The sequence below is a fragment of the Homo sapiens genome, chromosome 15 (assembly GCF_000001405.40).
Source record: "Homo sapiens chromosome 15, GRCh38.p14 Primary Assembly".
Taxonomy (NCBI): domain Eukaryota; kingdom Metazoa; phylum Chordata; class Mammalia; order Primates; family Hominidae; genus Homo; species Homo sapiens.
In genome coordinates, this window is record NC_000015.10 from 90,804,559 (window position 1) to 90,821,229 (window position 16,671).

The 16,671-nt window shown below is 49.3% G+C and overlaps 1 protein-coding gene across 6 annotated transcripts in view, besides 3 other annotated features; it reads left to right on the forward strand.

Annotated features, from left to right (window-relative positions):
* BLM (BLM RecQ like helicase) overlaps positions 1-11,608 on the forward strand; it is a 98,821-nt gene extending 87,213 nt beyond the window's left edge. For all 6 annotated transcript variants that reach the window (NM_001287246.2, NM_001287248.2, NM_000057.4 and 3 more), the window contains 3 exons: positions 4,579-4,701; positions 6,647-6,848; positions 10,544-11,608. In NM_001287246.2, coding sequence (NP_001274175.1) covers positions 4,579-4,701; positions 6,647-6,848; positions 10,544-10,721 — 503 coding nt within the window. In that variant the 3' untranslated portion in view covers positions 10,722-11,608. The remainder of the gene's footprint in view (positions 1-4,578; positions 4,702-6,646; positions 6,849-10,543) is intronic.
* Positions 10,119-10,228: a silencer, noted in NCBI's record as "silent region_6827". NCBI's record gives its function as "represses an Ori minimal core promoter by ATAC-STARR-seq in GM12878 lymphoblastoid cells {active_cell/tissue: GM12878}" and the evidence as "EXISTENCE:reporter gene assay evidence [ECO:0000049][PMID:35858748]".
* Positions 11,843-12,674: an enhancer, noted in NCBI's record as "H3K4me1 hESC enhancer chr15:91359631-91360462 (GRCh37/hg19 assembly coordinates)". NCBI's record gives its function as "activates a minimal SCP1, AML or CMV promoter by ChIP-STARR-seq in naive H9 embryonic stem cells {active_cell/tissue: H9 hESC(naive)}" and the evidence as "EXISTENCE:reporter gene assay evidence [ECO:0000049][PMID:30033119]".
* Positions 12,675-13,504: an enhancer, noted in NCBI's record as "H3K4me1 hESC enhancer chr15:91360463-91361292 (GRCh37/hg19 assembly coordinates)". NCBI's record gives its function as "activates a minimal SCP1, AML or CMV promoter by ChIP-STARR-seq in naive H9 embryonic stem cells {active_cell/tissue: H9 hESC(naive)}" and the evidence as "EXISTENCE:reporter gene assay evidence [ECO:0000049][PMID:30033119]".

Below are 16,671 nucleotides of genomic sequence, written 5' to 3' on the forward strand. Positions count from 1 at the left end.
GCTCAAGTGATCTTCCCACCTCAATTTCCCAAGTAGCTGGGACTACAGGTACACACCAGCATGCCCAGCTAATTTTTGTATTTTTTCGTAGAGACAGAGTTTCACCATGTTGCCCAGTCTGGTCTCGAACTCTTGGCTTCAAGCAATCCTCCTGCCTTAGCCTGCCAGAGTGCTGGGATTACAGATAAGCATGAGCCACTGAGCCTGGCCTCAGTTGTTTTAATTATTTTTATTTAATCTCTGGATTAAAATCTCAGAGAAACAATTGAAACTTATTCTTTTTTTGTTTGTTTTTGAGACGGAGTTTCACTCTTATTGCCCAGGCTGGAGTGCAGTGGCGCGATCTCAGCTCATCACAACCTCCGCCTCCCAGGTTCAAGCGATTCTTCTGCCTCAGCCTCCCAAGTAGCTGGGATTACAGGCATGTGCCACCACGCCCGGCTAATTGTGTATTTTTAGTAGAGACAGGGTTTCTCCACGTTGGTCAGGCTGGTCTCAAACTCCCAACCTCAGGTGATCCACCCACCTCGGCCTCCCAAAGTGCTGGGATTATAGGCGTGAGCCACCATGCGCGGCCGAAACTTATTCTTTTTTTTTTAAGGACATCTGAAGACCATTGAATATTAAACTCATTCTTAAGATAAAATATGTTCTTTAACATATATATAGTACTTTGTTATATATGGTATAATGGTACCCTATGTATGTTATATATGGTATAATTTTAATTATAGCTCTGTGCCTATATGAAAAATACATATAATCAAAGTAAATGGTGGGTGCATGCCTGTAATCCCAGCTACTCGGGAGGTTGAGGCAGGAAAGTAGCCTGAACCCAGGAGGCAGAAGTTGCAGATATTTGTATATAACACAGCTAAACACTATAAGGCAGGCAAATAATCGGCACAAATAATGAAGTGATGTCTGGTTTTAGAAATTACAATGATCTGGCCGGACACGGTGGCTCACGCCTGTAATCACAGCACTTTGGGAGGCCAAGGCAGGTGGATCATGAGGTCAGGAGTTCAAGACCAGCCTGCCCAAGATGGCAAAACCCGTCTCTACTAAAAATACAAAAAATCAGCCAGGTGTGGTGGTGGGTGCCTGTAATCCCAGCTACTTGGGAGACTGAGGCAGGAGAATCACTTGAACCCGCGAGGCAGGGTTTCACCATGTTGGCCAGGCTAGTCTCGAACTCCTGACCTCAGGTTATCCCCCTGCCTCAGCCTCCCAAAGTGCTGGGATTACAGGCATGAGCCACCGCATCCGGCCGGATTATTGTAATTTCTAAAACGAGACATTACTTCATTATTTGTGCTGATTATTTGCCTGCTTTGTAGTGTTTAGCTGTGTTATGTACAAATATCTGCAACCTCCGCCTCCTGGGTTCAAACGATTCTCCTGCCTCAACCTCCCGAGTAGCTGGGATTACAGGCATGCGCCCACCATTTACTTTGATTATATGTATTTTTCATATAGGCACAGAGCTGTGGATAATAAAAATCAATGTCCAAATCAGTAAAAAAAATTCTTTCAATAAAAGCACTGTGTCATAGTTTAATTAGCAGAATTTTTTCTTCCTTAATAGTCCATAAAATAACAGTATCTTAATATAGTTGGCATCTTAGATCCAATGAAATATTGTAATGACCAATTGTAATATTGTAATGGGCTGGGGGCCGTGGCTCACGCCTGTAATCCCTGCACTTTGGGAGGCTGAGGTGGACGGATTGCCTGAGGTCAGGAGTTCGAGACTAGCCTGGCCAACATGGTAAAACCCCGTCTCTACTAAGAATACAAAAATTAGCCAGGCGTGGTGGCGGGCGCTTGTAATCCCGGCTACTTGGGAACCTGAGGCAGGAGAATTGGTTGAACCCAGGAGGTGGAGGTTGCAGTGAGCCAAGATCGTGCCACTGCCCTCCAGCCTGGGCGACAGAGCGAGACTCCATCTCAAAAAAAAAAAAAAAAAAAGTCTGCAATGAAGAGCTAGTTTCCTTATGAAGAGATTATGTTTTATGCTTCTTTGAATCTGGATCTAGCACACTGCTATGTCTTTAGTTAATAAATACTTACTGGTCTGAGTTATTTCCATGGGCAGATAGCCCAACCCAGAATTTCAGTAGTAGAGTTCCTGGAAAACAACGTCTTCATATAGTTGGCCAGCTGGGCTATATTACCTTCCATATTCTTCTTCATAAAATCTCATAATCATCACCTTCTCTCTTCTTCATTCCCTCTCCTACGATAATCGGTCATTACAATATTTCACTGACTCTAAGATGCCAACTATATTAAGATACTGTTACTTTATGGACTATTAAGGAAGAAAAAATTCTGCTAATTAAACTATGACACAGTGCTTTTATTGAAAAAATTGTGTTTTACTGATTTAGACATTGATTTTTATTATCCACAGCTGTGTGCCTGTATGAAAAATACATATAATCAAATTACCGTAGGTACTTATAAAAGTTCACATTCAAAGCCTGACTCTTCTGAGTCACTTTTTGACTGAGTCGTCCATGTCTTTGTTTTTCCCTATGTCATCACTAACATTCTCATTAGCCATAAGGCATTTCCAGAGTGTTCCACTATTTTCCCCAGGATTTAATCGAAATCTCTGTTATCAGTTCTGTTTTGAAGGTGGTGGTTTCTTGATGATACCAGAAGGTGTCAACAGAAGGTTGTACATCTCTCAGTAACAAAAATGTAGTGCGGCCTCATCTACTTTGGGCATCTTCTTTCTTAGGTCACGTAAAGCACTTGGTTGTACTTGCGAGAAACTATGGAATTGGGGGCCTGTGTCCTCAGAGACAAATAGTGCCTGGGTTTTTTTTGTTTTGCTTTGTTTTGTTTTTTTGGAGATAAGATCTTATTCTGTCGCCCAGGCTGGGTGCAGTGGTTGAACACAGCTCACTGCAGCCTAGACCTCCTGGGCTCAAGTGATCCTCCTACCCCAGCTTCCTGAGTAGCTGGAACTACAGGCATGTACCACCATGCTTGGCTAGCTTTTTTATTTTTTTGCAGAGACAGGGCCTCACTGTTACCCAGACTGGTCTCATACTCTTAGGCTGAAGCAATCCGCCCTGTCTCAGCCTCCCAAAGTATTGGGATTACAGGCATGAGCTACCACGCTCAGCCAGATAGTGCTTTTCTTAATACCAAATGTATTCCCTGCTACTCTGTTTCAGAACTTTTCTGCATTCACAATCACTTTTTTAATGCTAATCACAGTATAGTCTTTTTGAAGACATGTCATGGCAGTTAGACTCAATACATGAGGTACAAACAGTGCAGTGACTTTGTTGACATGCTGACAGTACTAATAGCTATGACTAAGTTCTCACAAGCATGAGCAGTAACAACCGCAAGGCAGCTGCCATTTAGCCATCAGCAGTTCTAAGACATATCTTGACCTCAGGAATGCTAAATTGTGAAAAGGTGTGTGTCTTAGAATTGATGAAATTTGGTATTTTATGATATGTTATTTCTAGGCGATTAGTGTAGTTTCTTAACTGTCCTCCTTACCTCCAGCTGTGAATGTGATGTACATTTTAATCTTTCAAAACCTAGTAAAACTACAACAGCTTCCCAGATAAAGTATACATTTTATCAAGGGTCTACATTTCTTCCTGCCTCTCCTACTTTATCTTTCATTAAACCCCCTTCATAAACCTTCTGTTCTGTCCACAGTCTCTTGCTTTTCCTCTAAACATGGGAATGATGTGAAAATCACAGATGGGAAAGGATTTGAAATCCACTCTTTGCTCAGCTCAAATACATAGGAATGGTTACTCCCTCACTACCCAGAGCCAGTGCATCAGTCAGTCCTACAGAGCCAGCCTCCAAAACTCACCCAAGCTTGCTTCACTGTGTCTCCACTACTGCATTCCAGTTCACTCCATCCTCACTCGCTCCTGCAATGGCTTCCACCAGGCTCCCGGATTCTACTCTTTCCTTTACAGTCAAGTTCTTAAACAGCAGCCAGGGTGGCCTTTAAATGACAGGCTTGTCTAGCTGCAAGACTGATATGCGACCTCTATGCAGAGGACTCAGCTGGCTGCTTGTTGCCTCAACCCACATGGGGAAAGAGTGGAGGAAGAAAAGTTTGTGCTGGAGGAAGTAACAATTTGGTTATGCCGTCTAGGGTGGGGTGTACAAGTCTGGAGTGCAGAGAAGAGGCTGGAGCTGGAAATAGAAATGCAGCGTTCTCAGTAAAGAGAGGGCACACCAGTCTCAGCTAGATGAGTACTGGCCATGGGAACAGTGGGCAAGAGCAGATCTGCTCCACTCCACGCACATGGCACAGGTCCCACCCTCAGCTTCCTCCTGCCCTGGCTCTTGCCCTTGCTCTGCCCTGGCCTATGCCGCTGGAATTGGATGGTGGGTTCCTGCCCTCTGTGCCTGTCTGCTGCCTCTGAGGTGCTAACTTTGCCTTTTACAAAATTGGCCTGTGTTCCCAGTACCCTGCAGTTAGTTGGCACTTAGCAGACGTGTGCTGAATGCGTGAATGAGCCTGAATTCAGTGGGTTTTCTATGGGTGATAATTTAAATTCCTAATTTTATGCCTTTGCACAGAATCTTTATCTTCTGATCCTGAGGTTTTGCTTCAAATTGATGGTGTTACTGAAGACAAACTGGAAAAATATGGTGCGGAAGTGATTTCAGTATTACAGAAATACTCTGAATGGACATCGCCAGGTTAGTACACAGCCATGTGTGTTCTCTAAAAGCCTGTTTAATGTGAAGCGACGCGTCTCACTGAATTAGAAGGATGCAGTTGTGTGAATGCTTCCTACACCTCGTCACACTGACATCCAAGTCAGCCCCCAGTGGTGTGCCAGTCACCTCTGAGAGGACACTAGTGCTTATGCCCCCTGTGAGTGCCAGTTCTGAACTTACTCATAGGATCCAAAAGGGGACCTTTGGGCCCAGGGGTTGCTGGTTCCCGTAATGCAAGTGCTCAAGGGATCAGAGCCCTGGGTACCAGTTCCAGATCTGCCACCACGTCATGCTGTGTGGTCTCTAGCAGGCCACCAATAGCCTCTTTGTGAATCAGGTTCCTCCACCAAGGAAGGAACATGTTATCTGACAAACATGTCTAAAGATAAAATTTAAGACTAGTGTTTAAATGTTTTGGAGAAATGAGCATGCAGCTAGAATGTTATTATTGTTAGTCATTGATAGAACCTGCCTGAGTGCATCATTATCAGACGTTCCCGGAGTCACGTTAGGCCTGTCCTGTGGCACTTCTAATCATGAGCTTCATCATCATTACAGCTTTAGAAATCATTGACCTGGGGGAAATGAGAACAACAAAGCATTTTGTTGTAGGAAATATTGAGAGCACAGAAGTCTTCTGCCCTCTGATAACATCACCACGTAATAGGACACAACAGACAGGCCCGGTTCAGTGTTCTTCCTGCTTCCAGACAGGCAGTGTGGGGGTCTTCCCAAGGATGATGGAAATGATGAGCAGGATGAGATAGTTCAAGTTCTCTCTTTACCTAGTCGCTTTTTTTTTTTTTGACAGAGTCTCACTCCAGGCTGGAGTTCAGTGGCACAATCTTGGCTCACTATGCCTCCCAGATTCAAGCAATTATCCCACCTCAGCCTCCCCAGTAGCTGAGACTACAGGCATGCACCACCACACCTGACTTATTTTTGTATTTTTTTGGTAGAGTTGGGGTTTCACTATGTTGGCCAGGCTGGTCTTGAACTTACGACCTCAAGTGATCCACCTGCCTCAGCCTCCTGAAGTGCTGGGGTTACAGGCATGAGCCACCACACCTGGTCAGGTTCTCCTAAATTCTTCTATATGGTAATTAGTCCATTAAAAGCCTTGTTCCGAATACATTTTGACAGTGAGCCAGGGTTGGAGCAGCCATGGTGGAGTCCTGTGCCCTCCATGCTGCTCCTGTAGGGTGGCCTGTAGGACAAGGCAGACCAGCCAGGAAATGGAGACTGGGTCCCCGTGTGAGCTATCTATAGGGAGGTTTCATGCTTTTTGGGTGCCTTGGGATGCAAATACTTATGGAAATTACCATCTTCTTTGCAAATGTGTGCTTTCATGCGGTCTCACCTCCCGCATAATATGTGACATGTTCAGCCATATTGTGCAAAGACAAGTTTTTTTGTCTGTAAAGAGTAAAATAGGATCTAGAATTTTCTTATGTTCATTTACTAAGAAACTATTGTTCAAAGATGAGATACAGGACCGTTTGTTTCCCTTATATTGAGCTGATTTTTTCAGCACATTTAAAATAAGTAAAATTGCCTGCCATCTTTATAGCAGTTGATACTTTTTGAATTGCCTACCAGAACTAACTGCCCAATCAACAACAGGAACACAGGCCATATGCGACAGTATGAGCTAAACCTCATGTCTCTAGTTAACTTCAAGACTATCACAAATTTTTTTAATGAATTCTGATTCTCTTTTGTTAAAAATGAATTGCCATTGAACACTTTGGGGCTTTGTGCAGTAAAAAAAGGTTTGGTTCTTGCTGAATTGTTGAATCCATATGGCAGGGAAGCAGCTAGGTATCTGCTAAAATGGGCCCCTGCAGCGTGTCTCTTCATATACACTAAAAACACGTGGACCAGTGCGACATCACCTGTAAACATCTGCATTTTCCATTTGTAGCTGAAGACAGTTCCCCAGGGATAAGCCTGTCCAGCAGCAGAGGCCCCGGAAGAAGTGCCGCTGAGGAGCTCGACGAGGAAATACCCGTATCTTCCCACTACTTTGCAAGTAAAACCAGAAATGAAAGGAAGAGGAAAAAGATGCCAGCCTCCCAAAGGTCTAAGAGGAGAAAAACTGCTTCCAGTGGTTCCAAGGCAAAGGGGTATGTTTTGTGACATCTTTTTCAATATAGGGAACAAGGGAAGAAAGGACAAAAGTGCAACAGCTCTGCCTTGCTTTGAAGGATTTATTAAAATAAGCCATTATTAAATATTGCTAATGGAATGACAGTTGTTAATGGAGTGACAATTAAGGTTTGATCCAAAACAAAAATATTTGCTTCAAGAAACAACAAAAAATATTTGCTTCAGATGTTTAAAACATCTACTGACTAATAGTTATGACTAAAGTTTTCTTTCTTTTTTTAATTTGAGGACAAAGTCTGACTCTGTTGCCCAGGCTAGAGTGCAGTGGCACAATCTCGGCTCACTGCAACCTCTGCCTCCTGTACTCAAGTGATCCTCCCACCTCAGCCTCCTGAGTAGCTGGGACTCCAGGTGTATACCATCACTCCTGGCTAATTTTTGTATTTTTTGTACAGATGGAGTTTCCCCATGTTGCCCAGGCTGGTCTCAAACTCCTGAGCTCAAGTGATCAGCCCACTTTGGTCTCCCCAAAGTGCTGGATTACAGACGTGAGCCACCGCACTCAGCCTGACTAATGTTTCTTGTTTGCAAAGATGTCTTCCATGTTGATCTTCCCTTAGATATTTGTTTGCCTGTTTGGGATGATTGTTCTTCTTAAGAGACTTTTCCACCTACAATACTATAAATCATACACTAGCTGAATAAATAACAAAGGGTTTTGTGTCCTCGTGGCTTTTACTATTCTGTCAGTACTTGCTCCGCTGCTTTTATTGCTGCAGAATCCCATGGATCTCCACCTTGAAGCACGTGCACACTCCCTGCCTTTCATTAACACCTGGGAGAATCGACCTCCCAGCCTTTGCAGGGGTAGCAAGAAGAAGCCACAACAGAGAAACCAAAAGTTCAGTCAAGCCAGGCCTCTTTAGGGGTTGCGTAAATGGCTTCTGTCTTCCCCTTCCCATGTTTTCCTGGGCCGCTCGTCTGGGACATGTCTGTTCTGGGCGCTTTCTGCACACCAGGGGAACAACAAAGACAGCATGGTCTGATATGTGTGATGATCTTGGCAGTTTCCTTCTTTCTTCATAATTGCATTGTTTCTGACAGCCGCTTTTTGATTTTCTGCCAGGGCACCCTCTGCCTTCTGGCTAGTAGGTTAGGCCTGGCAGGAGGGAGACCATTCCATCAGTCTTGAGAACTTGACCCCAAAGTAACTGTATATTGTAACAGAGTTGCTTGCAGAAAAAAGAAACCAAAAAAAAGTCCACAGTCAACTTTTGCAAGCTGTTGTGTTTTCTTTTGCAGTTTTTCTACCTCTTGTCCTTCTGAGTAATAAAAAACAAGAACTGAGTGGGGAAAGAGAAAGGAAGGCAGACATTACCAAATTGTCATTTTCTTGTTAAGTCCATAAACAAAATCTTGTATGTGCTAATCCTCCTGCCAGAGTACCGAAATTAAAGGCATTAGAAAACGTTAGTTTAATTTTGTGGTTTTGAGTGCGCAAGTGATCAGTAAGTGCTCTTCAGTGAGAACATTTTCTTATTTCCATCATTTATTCCTCCACTTTGGGAAATACTCATTTCCTCAGTAACTCACACAGAGCCGGAGACCTTAAAAGGCATCTGGCTCAACACCCAGGGTTTTTGAAGAGGAAGCTTAGGCCTGGCCTGGGGAGGGCTTATCGGAGGACAACCCTGCCTGGTCTCGATTTCAAAGGTAGAAGCGGACACTGGCCTGCCCACACCTGCCCAGAGCACGTTCACTTCTGCATGTTGCCTGTGGAGACTCCTAAAAAACACGCATGGTCTTCCATCTCATCTTTATGTATTAGAACAAAGCAAACCATATTGCTATTGGCTCCCTTATTTAATTTTCACAACTTTTGTTTGTAAGAGTGAAGCACTTTGCAGCATCATCTGGAACCTAATCTGATAAGAAGCAGTAAAGCTCACACTTGTACCCATTTCCATGCTTGTTTTCAGTGAGCCTGGGTGTTTAAGATGGGATTTGTTGTTGTTGTTGTCGTTATGGAGTTTTGCTCTTGTCACCCAGGCTGGAGTGCAGTGGCACCATCTTGGCTCACTGCAGCCTCTGCCTCCCGGGTTCAAGCTATTCTCCTGCCTCAGCCTCCCAAGTAGCTGGGATTATGGGTGCACGCCACCACGCTGGGCTAATTTTTGTATTTTTAGATGGGGTTTCACCATGTTGGCCAGGCTGGTCTCGAACTCCTGACCCCAGGTGATCTACCCACCTTGGCTCCCAAAGTGCTGGGATGACAGGCGTGAGCCACTGTGCCCAGCCAAGATGGGATTCTTTTTTAAGCCCTACCAGCTAAAGCCAGTGCACTGTGTGACTTTGTGTTACCCTTGGAGCAGCCTCTTTTTGCTCCACTCTCCTTTCCACCGACCCAGTGTGCTCCCCGGATTGAGAGTCCCTGTGCAGTGAAAGAATAAATGTGGCTCTCTGCCAGCAACCTCACCTCCCCACCCTACCCTCAGAGTTTCACATCTTCAGAACAACACACAATGAACCAGTTGTGTTCTGGGCTCTCTGAGTGGGAGTAAATGGATGGCCCAGGTGAAATGGAGGCTGCTGTTGGCCGATTCATTCTGTAAATCAACATAAACAGCAGGTTTTCTCTCTGGGCTTAATTTCTCAGCAGGAAATCAGCATAGGGAAACTTCAGGCTGCATCTCTGCCAGTCTAGCAGATCTCTGCCAGTTCTGCAGTAAAACTGCCTTGGAGCCAGAGTTTAAGTCATGGAGCTCCATCAGAATGTCATTACCCACAGGCTGTGGCCCTATACCCTCAATTCAGACGGGAGGCTACTTGTATGCCCTGGTGCCGTGGAATTAGTGTGGGGCCTGACATCAGCCGGTTACAGAGCAGCAGGAAAGGCTTCTGCGGGTAATGCTGCCCACAGCCATCACTGTAAACATGCCGGCCCCATGGTTTTGTTTGTTTTTATTTTACTTAAGGGTGGGAAGGGAGCTGTTATCTTAAGGTCTGCAAGGAAAGTGAGATGCTGGAAGGACTTGGTAATCGGCTCTGGCGGCTTCTTCCTTGGCTTTAGAAGGCAGCGAGTGGGAGGGAGAGCTGGCAGATCTCTGGGTGTAGGCAGGTGAGCCAGGGAGCTGCTGGACACGGTCCTAACAGAAGGCCGCATCTGCAGCCTTCCTGGGGCTTCCTGGGGCTGGCCAGGAAGACGCCCAGCTTTGCCACTCCTGGCCACCCAGCTCCACCCCATGCATGCTCACCCCACAGCTGCCTTGCTCTGGACTGTGCAAGTCCAGTCATTCCGGGGTGCCTGTCAGCAGGGAGCTGGGGCCTTACAGCAAGGTGTTTCACTTCTTTTATTTGGTCAGAATAGATGAGGACATGTGGACCTCAGCTCCTCTTGCAGGCTCTGGTTGTAGGCTGCCGAAGGTGTGGGTGGAGAGAGGGGCGGTGGGTTGGTCACAAGTCAGAAAATTAAGAAACAGTCCTGCACATTTCAGAAAGACAAATCCAGAACAAATTTATATGAAGGGCCGCGGTCCTTTATTCCATAAGTAGTAAAGGAAACTTACCTTACCTAGGGGGCTCGTAGGCAGAAAATGCACAAGGACACATTAGGCCCAGGGAAGTGGTATTGTAGCTCTGTGCAGGTTGAGAGGAAGGTCATTCATTTTTGGTTTCATTTAACATTTTGATTTTTTTCTTTGTCACATTTCAGGGGGTCTGCCACATGTAGAAAGATATCTTCCAAAACGAAATCCTCCAGCATCATTGGATCCAGTTCAGCCTCACATACTTCTCAAGCGACATCAGGAGCCAATAGCAAATTGGGGATTATGGCTCCACCGAAGCCTATAAATAGACCGTTTCTTAAGCCTTCATATGCATTCTCATAACAACCGAATCTCAATGTACATAGACCCTCTTTCTTGTTTGTCAGCATCTGACCATCTGTGACTATAAAGCTGTTATTCTTGTTATACCATTTGAAGTTTTTACTCGTCTCTATTAATATTTAAATAAATGCTGGGGGGTGATAGTTCTTCTTTTTAAAATAAACATTTTCTTTTGAATAAGCATGTTTTGCTGCCGCTGCAAGTGTTGTGGCCGTTGTTTCTCAGAACGTCTGAGGCAGCAGCTGAATCATCTCAGTGCAAGAGCTTCTGAGCATAACACGAAACCCAGAAGCCAAAGGAAGAGCCACGCGTGGGCCCTTGTGAAACTAAAGCTTTTCGTGTAAGACAACACAAACAAAATTTAAAGACAAATGACGGGGAAAAGAGGAGAAAATATATTACAAAGGATTAGTATCCATCATACCAAATACCCGTGAACCAGTCAGAAACATCCCAGGGGGCAGGTGGACCAAGGATGTGAACAGGCTAGTCTCAGAAGAAGAAATACACATGCTCATGGCCCGGCACTGTGGCTCACGCCTGGGATCCCAGCACTTTGGGAGGCCGAGGCAGGTGGATCACGAGGTCAGGAGTTTGAGACCAGCCTGCCCAACATGGTGAAACCCCGTCTCTACTAAAAATACAAAAATTAGCCAGGCGTGGTGTACAGGCACGCCTGTAGTCCCAGCTACTCAGGAGGCTGAGGCAAGAGAATCGCTTGAACCCAGGAGGCGGAGGTTGCAGTGAGCCGAGATCGTGCCACTGCACTCCAGCCTGGGTGACAGAGCAAGACTCCGTCTCAAAAAAAAAAAAAAAAAAAGAAATATACATGCTCTGCAAATATGTGAAAAAGGTCAATCTCCATGAATAAAAATATGATAAAACCATGTGAGACCATTCTTTTGCCTACAAATTATCAACACTGGATAATATCCCAGTATTTGGGGTCAGCGAGAAAGATTGGCAGATTGTTTGGGTGGACGTGTGTGGCAGTTGCTGTAGTCCTTTGGTATTGTGGTGGCCTCGTTTTTCAGGATGCTCCATAATGGGCCAATTGGCCCCAGCATCTTTGGTAGGATTTTGGCCTCTCTTGCCTGAACTCCAGTGGCCCCATTTTCGGAGACATGCGTTTCTCAGCTGTAGGTCACCTTTGTCTGGGTGCCACACAGCGAGGAAGTGGCATAAGACAAAACACACACCTCGGCCTGCCCTTTGTGTGGTGTTACCTGTGACGTTACTCAGGAGAGTGTAGCTGGGGAGACCCTGCCTGTGCCAAAGCCAAAGGTGTGAAGAGGGGGTTGATGGGAAGCCGTGTGGCCTCTGCCTGGGGACTCAGTCCTGAGAGGGACCCTGCACCCACCCTGAGGACCCACCCTTGTGGTAGCACACTGACTTCCTGCCTCCTCGGCTGCCTGTGAGCCCCAACTGCCGCCTGTGGGCTTTTGGCTCCGTGTTTAATGGGGGGGACTGGCCAGGCGAGTTTGCTGAGGGCTGAGTGCCATTAGCACGGATGCGTTCCGGATCTGACATTTTCAGAGGTCATCCTTCTGGCCAGAAGAACCTTCTCTGTGCATGAGAAGTGGAAAGGAGACAAAGTAGCCAGAAGTTGATACCCCTGGGGTAATGTCCCCAGCATGAGGCCACCTTGGAGAGTTGCTGATCCAGCCAAGGCATCTGGCAGGAGGCATGTCCGTTCCACCTGCTGCAGCAGCTCTGGCCTTGGTGGTGGGGGTGGACTCTGGCACAGACAGGTCACTGCTGGGCTCTGACCTCATCCACTCGTTCCTTCTGGAGATGGAGCTTATCCCTCAGGGTCGCAGGCTGTGCCTCCAGGAGCTCCCAGGGCTGTGGGGGAACAGATGAAAATAACGTGCATGGGGCCTGAAGGTGGAGAGCAGAGCCATGTGGGGCCCACACTACCTACAGCCCTTCCCCATGTCCTGGGAAGATGATAGGTTGACCCACCCCTGCCTCCCAGCAAGGAACCTGAGGCCTAGAGACCTCTGATTTGCCTAAGCTCAAATGACCACAGGTGGCAGAGCCAGGCCCCACACCCAACTCTTGAAAACATTCTAGGTTGGAACAGGCTCTGCTCAGTTTCTCAGGACCCGGGAGCAGGCACAGAAAATGCAAGCGGCCTCCTTCCTCCAGCTCATCTTCCAGTCCTCTCAGACCCCCAGGGAAGCTCTGCATTCGCCCAGCGCAACCCCAGGAGGGCAGGAGCAGGCAAACTTTCCCTGAACTGATGCCAAGGCTTTGAAGCCAAAGACCGGTCCATGATACAGCAAAGCTGCTCTGGGCTGGGCCCTGCTGGTGGCCCTCCATGGCACAAATCGCCACCACCTGGGATAGGAGAGGGCACAAGTCCACCAAGGAGTGCCAGCCTGGGACCCATCACGGGCCCATCCTCCCCTAGGTACACGAAGGCCTGACTCTCCCACACTCACTTGCCATCCTTCTGGAGGGCACAGGCAGGATTGGAATCTGGCTCTGTAGCTGCACATATGCCCTGCTGAGGCCCTCACACTACAGAACGCTGGCAGGCAGGCCCTTGCTCACCTCCAGGGACAGAGAACCCACTACTCTCAGAGGAAAAGAACAAGCACGGAGAGCCCCTCACCCCACCGGCTCCATGCCAAGGGCTGTTTTGGGAACTCAGGTAATTCACTTCTTCCATCCCTCCCGCAGCCCTGGGAGGCAGGCACATGATGTTGGCCTTTTTTATGCAGAAACCAGAATTCAGAGAGGTTATGTAACTTGCCCAAATCCACGCAGCTGGGAGGTGGTAGTAAGTAGGGTAACACACATCTCGATTTGCCCTGGAGTCCCAGTTTACATCCATTGTCCTGGTGTGATAATTAACACAGTTTATTTTCATTCTCAAAAGTGCTCCAGTTCAGACAACAAGTTCAGTGGCATCAAGAATCTGAGCTCTTTCCCTGAACTATCCAACCTCTTCTCCCAACCCCGCTTTCCACCCAGAGCCTCAGGGGCCACCTGCTGTCACCTGTTCGAAACTCCCAGCCTCTGCTGCAGGCTCCAGGGACAGAGGCTGCAGAATTATCAGCCAGCATCGCTGAGCTGTGGCTTTTCTCCAGAAGAGGAAGCGGAGGCTGTGGTCCAAGCCTTCTCGCTCTTCTTGAGAAACTGCTGCTTCTCCCACTCCTGCAGCCGTCTGGAACTGCTCTGAGGCCCCGAGGCCCACCCTGTCCTTTGGAGGCTCCCAGAGTCCCAGCCCGGCTCTTTCTCTGGCTGGGAGCTGCTGCCTGGGTGGGGAGCAGCAGGCAGCAGCTGTCAACCTCCCCCAGCCTGGGACCCGCCGCTGGCAGAGGCCTCTGGGCAGAGACAATGGGCGATGGGTCTTCTGTGGCAGCTGGGGAGGAATCCCCAGGGGCTCCAGCAGCCACTTCTCCCTCCGTGCAGCTGGCACAGCCCCGTGTGTCCTCAAAGCCAGGGCTCAGAGAAGCCAGCTGGTGGGGCGCACCCAGGGGCCCCGAGCCTGGCCCAGACCCTGCTAGGTGCTCCAGTTCATGAGTGCAGCAACCACTAGGAGGCAGGGGCTCAACTCTGCAGCTGTGCAGGGCAGACCCAGGACTTCGGGGACAAGCCCCTCGGCATGCAGTAGGCTCCTGCTTTCCAAAACGCACTCACTCTGCTTCTCGGAAAGGCTTCTCGGCTGGCCCACGCTCCCTGTTGGCAGGAGACGAAGGAGGAAGGGAGAAAACCCTCCCTGGTTGGGGTGGGCTGTGTACCCTGCCCCACAGGGTCACCACTGGGAAGAAGGACAGGACAAGAAGGTAGACAGAAGCCCGAAGTAGAGTCCAGAAAGCCCCAGCCATGGTGAGGCGTCCCCGCACAGGCCTGAGGCTGTCCCTGCAGCTAGCCAAGGTCAAGGTCGAGGTTTTGGCATCGCCACACCTCAACTGTGTGGTTCCACGGCCCCACAGAGGGTTCGGTGACGCCTGGGAAGGTGCCGGGTTCCACGGCCCCACAGAGGGTTCGGTGACGCCTGGGAAGGTGCCGGGATCCACGGCCCCACAGAGGGTTCGGTGACGCCTGGGAAGGTGCCGGGTTCCACGGCCCCACAGAGGGTTCGGTGACGCCTGGGAAGGTGCCGGGATCCACGGCCCCACAGAGGGTTCGGTGACGCCTGGGAAGGTGCCAGGATGGCACTCTGATGGTCTCTAGGCTCAGATCTATTCAGGATGTGGGAGTTCACCCCAGAGAGCCTGTCTGTCCCCATGGGTCCCACACACAGGGCCTGTCACACACACAGGCCACAGGCATCTGCCTGTCCTGGCCCCATCTACTCAGTCCCTGCCAGGAGCCACAAGGCCCCATGAAGGTCAGGCCCTGGCACTATGCCTGGGCCAGGAGTGGAGCAGAGAGCTCAGGTCCCTGCTTCCTGTAGGGAAGACTTTCCTTGGTAGGATAGAACCTGGAGCAGGGACTCTTGGGGTGGGAGGTGGCAATGGTGCCCCGGGAACTGCTGATGCGGAGTAAGGGTCTGAAGAGCCACCACTACCAGATCTGAAACCCCCGCCTAGAAGGAAGGACATCAGAGACACTGAGAGACTCCTGGACTTCTGCCCAGAGCCCTGCTCGGGCTCAGAGAGGGGTGGCCCCCTGCGCTGTGGCCCCCACCACTGTGGGAGCGTTGAGACGCTGTGACAGGGAGGCAGTTAACACTGCTAACCTCAAAGATGAACTCAGCAGTCAGCACCAGGGAGATCGGAGGTCAGCCCACGCCAGCCCCACCACAGACACCCGCCTGCATGGCTGGATGTGCATATAAGGACAGAGACCCGTGCGGCCACCGTCGCCACCAGGTCCCTTGCACCCAGTGAGAGCCAGTCTGGAATGGGCGGGACCTGGCCCCTTCCTCAGCCATGGAGTGCCCTTGGCAAGTTCTGTGGCCTCTCAGAGTCCCAGTGTCTCATCTGCACCATCAACATGCCACTTGGTCCTGGCCTCCGGGGCTGCTGCAGCATCCTTTTGGTCAGATATTCCACAAACATTTCTTAACCAGAGCAGAGCTCCAGGCATGGTTCAGCCTTCAACCAGGGCACAGGCAGGGAGGGAAACGCCCCGGGGGAAGGAGAGAGCAGTGTTGGAGTAAGTGGGGTGAGGGTGAAGACCCCAGGGCACCTGGGCCAGCAGGAGTTGGGGAGGGTGCCCAGGAGGCTGAAACGGCCAAGTGACCTCCAGGCTGACCATCCCAGTGTCCAGCCACCCCCGCTGAAGCCACCCTGTGCTCTCCTTTGTGGTCCCTCCTCACCTAGGAAGAGCAGAAAGGACACAGCACCCACCCGCGGGACCCCTTTCCTGAGCAGAAAGTGCCCTGTGCCAGCCTGGCCACCGCCTCACTGTGAGGATATGCACACTCTAGGCTGGGCCACCTGGCTGTATGAGCCCCAGCCCAGCGAGCGGCACAATGGGGATGACCCCAGCACACCTGCCAGGACCCCTGCCCCACAGGGCCTGCCACTCCCTCCACAGGCCTCAGCTTAGGGTCTGTACCTTTGCCCCAGATCTGGGTTCCAGCCCCAGGGACTTGGCACACAGCCGGTGCCTAATAACAGCTTGTTGGATGGATAGATGAGCGGATGGGCGGGTGAGTGGGTGAAGGGGCGCTGCGAAGACATCTGTCTCATTGCCTTCTCATGGGAGGATAAGATAGGAGGAGGAGACGGGGCCTCAGGCTGGCAGGGCCTTAAAATCCTGCAGCCCCACGGCCAGCACCAGGCAGTGGGGACGGAGCCCCAGGTCACTGAAGGCTCCCTTGTTACTTCTGCTGGCTTCATCTGGACAAACAGAAGCCGCTTTCCAGCTGGCTTCAGCAGTTTTCACTTAGATTTTCTTCTTTTTTTTTTTTTTTTTTGAGACAGAGTCTCACTCTGTCACCCAGGCCAGAATGCAGTGGCGTGGTGGCATGATCTTGGCTCACTGC